General features: G+C 47.4%; 1 protein-coding gene across 2 annotated transcripts in view, besides 1 other annotated feature; it reads right to left on the bottom strand.

Annotated features, from left to right (window-relative positions):
* The window catches only part of RPTOR (regulatory associated protein of MTOR complex 1), a 421531-nt gene that overhangs the window by 165101 nt on the left and 243520 nt on the right, over positions 1-12910 (bottom strand). For both annotated transcript variants that reach the window (NM_020761.3, NM_001163034.2), the window contains exon 7: positions 9759-9818. In NM_020761.3, coding sequence (NP_065812.1) covers positions 9759-9818 — 60 coding nt within the window. The remainder of the gene's footprint in view (positions 1-9758; positions 9819-12910) is intronic.
* Positions 10933-11012: a silencer, noted in NCBI's record as "silent region_9110". NCBI's record gives its function as "represses an Ori minimal core promoter by ATAC-STARR-seq in GM12878 lymphoblastoid cells {active_cell/tissue: GM12878}" and the evidence as "EXISTENCE:reporter gene assay evidence [ECO:0000049][PMID:35858748]".

Here is a 12910-nt window from a genome sequence, read left to right as displayed (position 1 = left end):
TGTAAAGGCCTCAGCACGATGCCTGGCACCATGGGGGCTCAGTAAATGCTTCCTACGGTCACTATCATTCCCCAGGAAGCACGGATAGCCACGTGCTCTCAAGCAGCAGCTCCCAGGTCTCCTTACATTTTCTGCACTGCATCCCCAGGCTCAGATGAGACGGAAGTCCCACAGATGGGAACCAGAGATCAGCTAACACAATGCTGAAGGTTTCAGAGCCAGAGTCAAACCCAAGCTCCAGGGCTGTGGGGCTGCAGCCCCGCACCTGCTGTCCCTGGGCCACACGGGGCAGCCGTGCTACCAGAGCCTCGGAAGCAGCAGCACACAGAGACTCACTTATTCACGACAATGGATTGTTAGCGGTTTAAAATATGCTGTGTACACAATCAATGTTAATCACGAGTAAGTTCTGGGTACGCTTTGAGCCTCCAGTGATCAGAATACTAACTAGCAGCCTCGTGGAACAGGTTCACATCTCTCAGGTTCCCCGGAGCTTTCTGAAAACCCTAATATTTCTAGCACTGTTTAAGTGTTGCATTACTTTGTTTCAGGGCTGAAAAATGTCCCTTAATTTCCAGGCACGGATCTTATTGCCACTCTCTCAAAGGATTCAGAATATAAATATGTACTGCAGCAGCAACAGCTTATTCATCAGGCTGCTAGGTTAGCATAGATAATTAGAAACTGGGGGGGTCGCTCGAGGAAGGTTCACTATAATTTACTTCCAGACACAGCAGCTTAATTAGAAAACAGATTCCTCTCCTAGTTTTAAAGACTGCTAAATAATTATGCACAAACTGCCCGATCTTCTCTCCAGTCTTGTGCTGAGATGCTAAACAACGTGTTTTGCCCATCTGACAAGGACGGCGAAAGCTCGGAAGGGGTTAATACTGGATTTCCTGAGGAGCCTTGATTTTGAGTGCTGCTGTTTGAAATAAACCGCATTTATTTTGGAAGACATATCGTGCAGCAGTTCTGAGGAACGAAACCTCCCCACGTCTCCAGTGCCGACAAAGACGAGGATAATGATATGACTCGGGTTGGATTTCTGACCGTCTGGGGGCAGCAGGGACGCTATGCCATGAAACTGCCATTGAGCTGGTGAGGAGGCCAGGTCGCAAAAGCCAAGCCTTCCAGAGGGCATGAAAGTGGTGCTGTGCCACACTCAGCCCCCAAACCCCAGACAGCGGGGTCCTGAGGCTCTCGGCCAGGGGGCCACCTGCCGTGCACTTACCCAACACGGACCCCTAGAGAGCTCTGGCCTGGCAGACCTGGCACACCAAGGGCCAGCTGTTGTAGGATGAGGGTACATCCTCTCAGATGGCAGCGGGCAAGGACACATGGGCATGGGGCAGGTGCCTACCATGCAGGTCTGTGCGTGACAAACACACCTGCCCATCTGTCACGTTATGTGCCGATCACCACCTGGCACCTGCAGCCTGCACTCAGGACCATCCTTCACACGCTCCCAACGAGGGTCGCCGGGGAGGGAAGGGGTGTGCAGGGCGGCCGCTGGGGAGGGAAGGGGTGTGCAGGGCGGCCGCCAGGGAGGGGAGGGGTGTGCAGAGCGTGAGGCAGACCTGGTTTTACTTCCTGCAGGTCATGAAGCTTGACGGAAACAAAAAGCCCGAGAACACAGGCCCGTTATTCTCCTTGCGTCACGTGACTCGTCACACTAGTCAGGTGGGACCCAGGAACCAACGTCGTCCTCACACTTAGTGGCAAGAGAGGTATTCTCAAGGGCAAGAAATTTCCATGTGGTGAGTTGAGACAAAAGAATGAAACAGCTAAACTAGGTCTTCAGACTCCCTAAAAAGCTGGCAAAAGCTAAAAGCAGATCAAGTCCAGCCCCAGCTAGTGTATGCGCAGGTACTGCAGACTCCCTGACATCTGCACATCCACACGATCTGTTCCGAATGTGCGTCACTCGAGATGTCACACACGTGTGTTCTAGGTGCTGTGTTGTGGTGGGGTTTCCACGCCCCCGGTCTACAGTCCTTAGGATTCTGTTTACAATAATGAACTGCTAAAACGTAAATGAAATCAGACTAAGCACGAGAGCCTGTTTCTGCCTGGTCTTAAAACTATAATTAAAAACAAGTTATCTCACCATTAACCTGGATCCAAGATCAGTTCATTTAACGAAGGCAGGGACGCCCAAGCAGGTTCTCTGGCTCTAGGTTCAAAGGTCATATCACGCTCGGGAGGGTCTTGGCAAAAAGGGCAGCAATGCAAACGCTTCCCCAGGGAGGTCATGCCGGCACAGATGTGAACGTGATGGATGACTGTGTACGTTTTAATGTAGGTGTGACTCAGGGAACCCAGAGTTCCATCTCAGGTGGACAGGAGGACAGTCATGGTGTGTAGGGACACGGGGGTGTCACCCAGACAACCGTGTGGCTCTCACCCAGCACCCACTGACAGCTCTGCCAATAATGCACAAACGTTTTTATTAAAATCTCTCAACTATTCAAAAATTTATATATTTTTAAATATTCCCTGGGTACTTATAAATAAATTTTTTAGACACACGTGCTGCCTGGAGGGAGGCAGTGCCTTGGCCCCCCCTTGGCTCAGCCCTGTGGCCAGGAAGGCCACTCAGGTGAATGCGCATCATAGGGTGTCGCTTCCAAGACCACACCCCTCCTGCTCCCACATGCGATGGGAGGAGTGGTGTTGGAGGAGCGCCATCCTGCTGACTCTGGAGCAGGGGTCAGGCGGTGACCCTCCAAATGTCAGCCCCGGAGTCTGGGAGGAACAATTCCCAAACCCCCTGAGGGACTGGTGTCCCAAGCAGGAGCAGGCAACTAACTTTTGATCACTGCATTTTAGGAAAGTGTTGAAAAAAACATACAAAAACTCAAAAGGTTTTGTGCATGTCAGATGCCTCCCTGGGAGGTGGCGTGGCCCTGCTGGCCACATGCTGTGACGCATGGGTGCCCTAACCGTGGTGTCCTTCTGTGTGGCATGGGCAAGGCGGCTCCAGAGGACATTCCACAGATGGTGGACACTGCTACGCTTCCAGCCCTGTAAGGAGGGAAGTTGGTTACAGGGTTTGCTTCCAGAAGGTAACCTCTGGGCTTCCATGTCAGAGAGGTGACTCCCTTGCCCGGGGCACATTGGTGACAGGCACAGCCTGGAATTGCTGGGAGCTCATCCTCAAGCACCCTGGTCCCAGCGTCAACTCAGGGCAAGGGACACACAAGAACATCACAAACATGGCTGACATGTTCAGTGAAGGGAAATAAGGGGGAACTCAGTCTTGGCTGCCTGGAACACAGGGGCCGCATTCATCAGTAGAGCTTGATGATGATCTGTTTGTCTCTCAACTGTACCGCACGGCTGCTTTCCGAGTGGATCTGTCTCCCCTGACACGTGGGCTAGCGTTACGGGAGTTAACATATGTTGGTGGGACCCCCGTGGGAAAAAGGGGCCCTGAGGTAGTAGAAAGGCTGGCCAAGAGGGTCTGAGCCACAGAGGTCACAGTAACCAAGATCAACATATTTCAAGAATAAATCTTCAGAAAATGATAAAGTATAAAAATAACGAGGTATTTTTTATAGGAGTGTCCTCTGACTGTAAAAACCACAGCGGCATGGAAGACACTATTAAACATAGATGTGCTGAATTTTCTGCCTCACTTTGTAACTGCAAAATCAAATCTACTTATTAAAAACTTTTCTTTGGCTGGGCGTGGTGGCTCACGCCTATAATCCAAGCACTTTGGGAAGCCAAGGCAGGAAGATCACTTGATTAACAAGATCACTTATTTAAAAAGTAACTCATGTCCTTTGTAGATAATACAATATGCAAAAGACATGGCCGGGCACAGCGGCTCATGCCCATAATCCCAGCACTTTGGGAGACCGAGGCAGGCAGATCATCTGAGGTCAGGAGTTTAAGACCAGCCTGGGTAACACAGAGAAACCCTGTCTCTACAAAAAAAACCAAACAACCCAAAATAAAAATTAGCCAGGCATGATGGCATGCACCTGCAGTCCCAGCTACTTGGGTGGCTGAGGTGGGAGGATCACTTGAGCTCAGGAGGTTGAGGCTACAGTGAGCTGAGACGGCACCACTGCATTCCAGCCTGGGCAGCAGAGCGAATCCCTGTCTGGAAAAACAACAACAACAAAAAACACACAACCAAACAAACAAAAAACTTTTCTTATGAGACTTTAAACATAATTGGGGAACAAAATCCAAAAATTAAAAAAACATAAAAATAGCGTTTTTAAGCGGAGAAGTCACTGTGTCTATGCAAGTTAAAAACTGACGTCCACTTGGAAATAGAGCTAATGGCAGCTGTGGCTGGGCACCTTTTGGAGCAAAGATCTGGATTTCTCCATTGCTGTATAATTCTAAAGTTTGGAATTTGTCCTGGCATAAAAAATGTAAATATAATTCAGCCACCCGCAATTTAACCTCTGTCACACTGTGAGGCGGAGGCACCACGGGAGTTCACCCTGTGAGTGCTGACGTGGATTCTTAGTGAAAGACACTAAAACAGGTGCTTTTGCTGAACTGCATTCAGAGAACAGTGACTCAGACCCAAATCCACACACTTTAAGAAGTTATTCTCAATAAAGACTGAGGTGGCTACAGCGACTGTGATATGGTTTGGCTCTGTGTCTCTACCCAAATCTCATCTTGAACTCTAATACCCATGTGTTGAGGCGGGGACCTGGTGGGAGGTGACTGGATTATGGGAGTGGCTGTTCTCGTGATAGTGAGTTCTCACAAGATCCGATGGCTTAAAAGTGTGGCACTTCCCCTTCCCTGGTGTGCTCTCGCTCTCCTGCCATGTAAGACATGCCTTGCTTACCCTTCCCTTTCTGCCATGACTGTAAGTTTCCTGAGGCCTCCCTAGCCATGCAGAACTGTGACTCAGTTAAACCTCCTTTATTTATAAATTACCCAGTGTGATGGTTAATACTGAGTGTCTCCAAGTTCTTCAGCTTTGGGAGTCAGACTGGCTTCCTTGCTCCGCAGCTTGCAGATGACCTATTGTGGGATCTTGTGACCGTGTGAGTTAATATTAATCAATAAACTCCCCTTTATATTTATAGCTATCCTATGAGTTCTGTCCCTCTAGAGAACCCTAATACACCCAGTCTCAGGCAGTGTCTTGACAGCAGTGTGAGAATGGACTAAAACAGCCTGCTAAGCCATTTGTCTCAGCAATGGGCCTCGAGAGCACGGCCTCTCTGGCGCCTTGCCATCTCTCTCTAACTGTGGTGGGGCCAGGGCAACGATGCCTGGGAGTCGTAGGTGCCTCAGCTGATGGCAGATGGAGAGGCGTGGGAGACGCTTACAGAACTACAGGAATGTGGAGTGACAGCAGCCACCATCCAAGCTGCAGCTCTGGGAAGTGCTGAGAAGGCAGAAGTGTCTGGCGGGAGGCGGACACGGGCTGAGAGCCAAGGTCGTGTCAGGATGTGTGATGCCCTCGGCACTGCTGCTGCCCGATGAGAGCCGAGTGGTGTCCATTCTGCAGGACAGAGACAGACCCAGAGGCAAGGAGGTGCCCAGTGAGTGTGGCTCAGAAGGGGTCAGGAGGGCCAGATGGAGCTGCTCGGACTCCAACGTCCATATTCTTCCCACCACACTCTCCTCCTCGTACCCCGAATCCCTAATCAGGGTGTGTTTTGAAAACTGCCTACTATTAACAGTTAATTGTCTCTTTTAAATTAAAAAAAAAAAATAAACCTTTAGCATTTAGCCACCTTCATAGCATCACTTGGCACAGGAGAAGGGGAGATGGAAGAAAGACGAGAACACTGCCCTAACCTCCAGCTGTCTGATCGCACTGGCTGAGAAGGGCCTTTGGTGCTGGGGAGGGAGGGGATGCACTGGTTCTGGGAAGAACACGAGTGGCTGCAAACGCTAACATCGTGATTTAGGGAAAGGGCGTCTGATGAAAATGACTAACATCCCACGGTGGATGGGGAAGGGTGTTTGCTTCTCTTTTTCAATCCTCACTCAATCCCATTTTAATAATAAGAGTGAAGGTATCTTCCCAGAAACAACAGAGCATGCTGCTGTAGAATCCACTTCCTTTCCCAAATCCAGGTCTCTGTTTCCCTGCACCCCTCGCTCCCCAGGCCCATGGCCTGTTGTCCGCAGCGGTGGCCAGCCGTGTGCTGCATCTGCTCTGCACTCTCCGGCCTGCTCACTCTCGTGGTGTTTTTTTCCTCCCCTACATTATGTATTACTTTTACTTCAGTTGTCAAATAGCAAAATGACTTCTGCAGGTACACATGCTATGGATTGGAACGTGTGGGTGGATCTGTGGAACCACACCAGCATCAAGACATCACCCCCAGGCCCCTCCCGCTAGCCCCTCACAGCCACACTCTCCACCCCTCTAATCCCTGGCAACAGCTGATCTGTTCTCTGGCCCCATGTTCTGTCTTTCCCAGAAGGTCACAGAAAGGGAATCGGACCATGCGCCACCCTTGGAGATGGGCTTCTGACACTTAGTGTGATACTTCTGGGAACCGCCCAAATGGCGGTGTATATAGAAAGCCTGTCCCTTTTTCCTGTTGAGCAGAATTCCATCATACGGATGCACCACAGTCTGAATTCATTTGCCCTGGGAGGGACATTTTGGTTGCTTCCGGCTTGGGGTAATGAACAGAGCTACCGTAAACATTCACGCACAGGTTTTTGTGTGATCCTAAGATTTCCCTCTTCCAGGGTACATATCCAGGAGTAGGAATGCGGGGACATGTTGGCAGGTTTATGGACATTTATGAGAAACCGACAGTTCTTCCAGAGTGGCCGCACCATTCTGCATTCCCAGCAGCTGTGATGTGAGTTCTCAACACTGCGTTTGGTCAGTCTTTAAATGTCATCCGTTCTAATAGGGACAGTGCTGTCTCACTGTGTTTTAATTTGCATTACCTAATGGCTAATGATTTCCAGGATCTTTTCATAAGCATATTTGCCATCCCTAAATCCTCTTTGGTGAAGTGTCTCTTCATGTCTTTGGTCTATTTTCTAATTTTCTTTTCCCCCTTATTTTTGAGTTTTGAGATATCTTTATACATTCTGGATACATGTGTTCTTTGTCAGATATGTGACTTGCAAATATTTTCTCCGAGTCTATAGCTTGTCTTTTCATATCAGCGTGTCTTTCAGAGAGTAAACATTTTACATTTGGATGAAGTCCAATTTACCAATTTTTTTTCTTTTGTGAATCATGCTTAGGATGTCATGTTGCTGTGCACATTTTAAGTTTTGGAAAGAAACAGGGAGGCAGCTGGTTGTTCTGACACCAAAATCTTGTTCAAGGGAAAACCTCCGTGTGTTGGGCAGACGACAGTGGGGCTGTCCTGAGACCTGAGCTCTAGGCCAGCCCTGCCCGAACCAGGCAGAAAAGGCCACCCAGGAGCTGAAGTGAACTAAATACCAGGTTCTCTCTCAGTAAAATAAGGTAGTTTGACTCAATAACCTAAAACAAATTTTTGTTGTCATCACTAGGTGATTTTTAACAGACCTTTTTGCTCTAGAGATGTGGAGCTTGTGGCGCTGTCTGAGCTCATGTGGCTCAACACGCGCTGGCAGGGCTCTGTCCGGAGTAGCCACAGACACAGGTGACCGGGGGGCTCTGTCCGGAGTAGCCACAGACACAGGTGACCAGGGGGGATGGGACAGCACACAGCAGCCATCCAGGATGGAGACGAGACACTGTCCCACACGGAGATGGAGGCGTGGGTAAGGCTTGGGCTCCTGCTACCAGGCGGAGGAGAAAGGATACTGCGGCCCTCCCACCTCCAGAGGAAACCATGGAAATAGCCACAGGGAGGCACGACAAACAGAAAACACCAAGACAGTTTTCACCCAAGAGCTGCCTGAATAAGCCAACCCAGCAAGGATAAAATATAACTGCTGAAATATTAATGGATATGGTTTATTTAAGAAATTAGATATATAATATATATACACAGGTTAAGTGTCCCTTTATCTGAAATGCTTGGAACCGGAAGCGTTTCGGATTTCGAATTTGTTCAGATTTTGGAATATCTGCATTATACTTACCAGTTAAGTTTTTTGGATTTATCACTAATCCGAAAACATGAAGTCCAAAATGCTCCAAAGAGCATTGTTTCTGAGTAGCACATCAGTGCTCAAAAAGTTTCCGATTTTGGCCTGGCACGGCCAGAATCACTCACGCCTGTAATCCCGGCGCTTTGAGAAGCGGAGGTGGGAGGATCGCTTGAGGCCAGGCGTTCAAGACCAGCCTGGCCAATACAGCAAGATGCCCTATTTTTTTTTAATTCATTAAAAATTTTTTTACAGTTTGATGCATTCCTGATTTTGGATTTTTAGATTTGGGATACGCATCCGGTGTGTGTGTGGGGAGGGCGCAGGGGTGGCGGGGGCAATATATACGTTACAGGTAATAGAGAGCTCTAAAACTCAGAAAACAGAGGGGGAAATAAAAGCCCCAAAGAAAGCGCACAGCAATACCAGTAAACAGATCTCAAGAACAGCTTCGCAAAACTGCAGTCTCGTCAGGGAACCAAACCAACCAGAAGGGGAGGGGAGCACAGATCATCTAGTCCCATTTTTTTTTTAAAGTTATTTTCCACGTGATGCTTCTGAGAGCCTCCACTATCTGTTTAGCCTTTGGAAACAGTCTTCTAAGTCACAGCTTGCACTGTTTGGAAAGCCTCTGGGCACTGAGCTCTGTTAGGTACCCATGCTGAGGACTGCTCACTTAGCACATCTGGTAGACCACTCCACATCAGGACCAGTGTCGCTTCCCCGGCCTTCCTGTTGGCCACACAGCCACCTTCCACGGTGGGAGTGAACCACGACGGAGCTCACCGTGCCCTCATGAACGTTTACACATAATATTCTTGCATTTTTCCCCTGATACACAAGGCAAGCACGTTTTTACAAGAGAAACTTGGAAGTGGGGTTGCTTTTCCTGCCTAATTTAGTAAATTCAGGCCCTAATATTAAGATATAACTTTGTATATTAAGATGTAGAAAACAATTATCTTGCATGTTAATTCTAGAAGAAATGGGGTTCTGAGCCAAAGGGTTTAAAATAACTCCAAAGTTCTTCCATACTGCCTGGATGACTCAGGATGAGTCACGATGAATCCGGTGCACAAACAAACAGAACAAGGCAGTGCAGGCCACGCTCCGGGTCCTGAAACACCACTTCAGATCCAAAAAGATCACGCGAGGGACAGACGGGTTGGCCAATGGGACTGGAAGGATTATGGGAGGCAAGTGCCATTGACTCTTCATAGGCCTGACTAAATCCCGTCACTTCATCGCTCAGGTTCTGAAATCAGTTTGCCCTGAGATAGTAAAATGGAAACTGGATGGCGACAGGGGGGGAGGGGATGGAAAGTTACAGAATATTAAAGGGACAGTTTCAGAAAATAAGGTAAGAGCTAGCTATGATCTAGCTATCATTTCAGTGGCAGCAGAAATGATTTGTATGCGAAGTGGTATGTTCTTGCTTTGGCTTAAAGTCTGGAGACTTTTTAAATGTTCAAAGGAATTCAGCTTTTTATTATTTTTCTTTTCATATGGCCCATGTTTGGTTATCTCCTGCACTAAGCCCCAGTGTGACAATCACAAACACAGCCTTAATCAGAGAACAAAAGAACACAGCCACATGAAAGGGAACATGCCATGTTGATAGAAAGTACTTCTGAGAAGCAAGAGCCTTCAAAAAGGAAAAGAAACTCATCAGATCCAGAGAGCCACAAGAGCTTAAAAATCCTACTTACTTTTCTATCAAATCCAGTGTGACGCCAGGCACCAGACTGACACATTTCTGCATGCAAAACCTGCAGAGAAAGAAAAGAATGTGAACGGCATGAATGGAACAGTCACCCAGGAAATTCAACAGGCCTGCAGAAAAAGGGAAGAGTTAAAGGTGGGGACAGGGACTACCACGGTGAACAAGTACACTCAGATTTCCTTAATTCGGCAGCTTTTAGATTTGTAAAGAAAATCTCATTGCCATTCTGTCAAGGCGTGAGACTACAGAGCTGCCACAGTGAGTTGTCAGGAGAAAGGAGAGAAGCCGTTTGCAGCCACATGAAGCCCGGTCCCTGGAGAGGAGCGCCGAGATGCTTAATAAAGCTCAGTCTCCAAACGAGATGCTGGAGTGGACTGGACCTGCCACTTCTTTCCTTCTTAAGGAAGTGAGCTGGGGAGACTGCTGGAGTAGAATAAATGAGTAGCCTCAAGACACACAAAAGAAATGCAAATTCAATTATATCATGTTCATAATCATAAAATCCTACAGGTCAGAGCTGGGTTCATGTCTGACGCAGGTCCATCCTTAGGAGCGCGTGTGGAGCCGGACAGGCTTTCTCTAACGTGGCGCCAACAGGAGGTAGGAAAGCATCTCTCCTCCCATCCGGGCTACTGGCATACAGTGGGCAGAATCGAGGCAGCAGAGTAAAAAGGCAATGCAGTATTTTTAGTAGGAGAAATGCAAAATGTTTAATTCACCTACTTTTAAAATTAAGAACAAATAACACCCCTTAAAAACATAATGGCAGGTGCAGAGCAAGTATGCACATCTCCAAAACACACTCGCGGACTGTTGGCTGGAAGTGAGTGATGGCAGAAGTGTTGGCTGGAAGTGAGTGATGGAGAAGGACAGTGGCCCAGGGGAGGGTGCAGTGCAAGGGTCAGGCACGTTCGGGGGAGACGTGGCAGTGACTCCTCTATGGGGGATGGTGGACCCAGGAGGGTACCCATAGCAGTGGGATAGGAAATGGGAGAAAAAGACACAGAGGAACTGAGAGATCCAGAACCAGGAAGACAACGAGCCAGAGGTGTGAAGACAGTCTCACTTTTGCAGCCCTGCAGGGCGAGGGGAGGCTGAGCTGGTCATCCTGGACCCCATGCATGGCTGCCAGCCACACTCACTCTCTCAAGAAGTGATACCTGGCTCAGCCAGCAGAGAGGAAGTTATATTCTTGGTTGTGGCTGCAGTAGTCAGTGTTTTATCGTTCAAAGAGCTGAGAAAATAAAAGTGAGGCCCACGTTTGCCTGAAGCTACAGAGCAGCCCTTTCCCACGGCATCAAGTGCCCCGTGTGGCCCCAGTGCTTCCCCGAGCCAGTCAGTGCCACTCTGAGTGGTCTCCTCTGCTGGCTTCACTTGCAGATGCTCTCCTCAGCCATGCCCAGACACCTCTGCACCAGCACAGACACATGCAGCTCCTACGGTGGTCCCAGGCAAACCAGAATTTCTCTGTGGATAAAAATGATCTACAGGAAATGCATTTTCAAATCTGAGTCCTATGCGAACCATGCTACTTTGTCTTTTTATCCATAATGTACTTACTGATTGGGATTTCTAGAGTCCAGTAATGACAGAATCACTTATATCAGACTCATCCTTTTGCCAATAATGATAAGCTCTGGACAAAATATTAAAAAGCCATTTGAAAATTCTGAACAACAAACAAATGCAGGCAGGAAGGCAGGAAATGGAAGGGCCGTGACCCTTAGAAAATGAGAGTAACTCTGCATGAATCACTTTCATCTGGCTTTTCCCAAGGGTGCTCCTCACTCACAAGTCATGTGGGGGTTAGCATGCGACTGAAAGGCAGCAGCCTTACTGGGTTGAGACCATGCTCAAGGCTGCCTGGATATTGCAGGCAAAAGCCCTAGGAAGAAGGGAGCCAAAACCCTCATGTAAACCTTCCCCGAGTCGGAGGCTGGCTCCTGAAGGGCACGCACACAGGATAATATTCCCAGGATCCCCGTGGAGGACAGCAGGAAGGTTGAAAACGCAGAGTAGAGATTTTGACATCTGCTTGCCACTGTGAAGACAGAGAAGATCAGGTCCTGCCAAACTACAGGGCTTGATCACATCTGAGGACATGGACACCCCAGAGGGATTATGAACCACACCTTAGAACTAAGATCAAAGCCAAAAGAGCCTAGTCCTATAACGAAGCCTCTACAAGATCAGTGTAATTGCCCAAAAGAAAATAACAGAATCTAGAATGTCTACAATGCCTCATCCACAACAGATAGTATACTATCTAAAATCAAGAGAAAAAAGTCAATAAAAACAGATTCATAGTTGGCCAGATATTGGAATTAGTACACAGAGACTTACACATTATAAAAATAATTATTGGCTGGGAGATAAGCATATTATAAATTCAGTGAAAATATAATGTTCCCTTAAATAAAAAATTAAAATGGGAATATCATGCAACTTTATTATAGCATGGCTATATGAATAAGCGTAGCATGGATATATCAGTCACTGATAGTATGCAAACTTCATTTTAGCCAAAAATGTAAATTCTCTTTATACCAGAATTGCTAACAACTGGTTTCACATTTTATACGATTTCTTTCATTCACCTACATCAGAGTGTTGCTGAGCAATGAAAGGTCAAAGAGTGGGCAAAGGCAGAGGTAATAAAAATGGCTCAAAAAACCCACAAAGCTGAATATAATGATAATATAACACAGCTGTTGCTTATTTAGTGCTTATTATTTGGCGACCATTGTTCTGTCTTTTATACTGATTTTTTTAATCGTCACATTCTGTGAGGTCTTATGATATACAGAGGAAGAACATCATAAATTAGGTACATCATAGTGAAGATCAAGAATATTAAAAAGACAATGAAAATACATACAAAGCTTCCAGAAACAAAGAGTAGATCACATTCAAAGAAACAAGAACCAGATTAACACAGGATGCAGGAAGACAGTGGAGCGGTGTTTTTATTTTTATCAGATTAACACAGGATGCAGGAAGACAATGAAGTGGTGTTTTTATTTTTATTTATTTATTTTATTTATTTTTGAGACAGAGTCTCACTCTGTCACCCAGGCTGGAGTGCAGTGGTGTGATTTTGGCTCACGGCAACCTCTGCCTCCTGGGTTCAAGTGATTC

Source organism: Homo sapiens, chromosome 17, assembly GCF_000001405.40.
Source record: "Homo sapiens chromosome 17, GRCh38.p14 Primary Assembly".
NCBI lineage: Eukaryota > Metazoa > Chordata > Mammalia > Primates > Hominidae > Homo > Homo sapiens.
The sequence above is the reverse complement of the archived record's forward strand: the minus strand, read 5'-3'. Positions and strand labels throughout refer to the sequence as shown.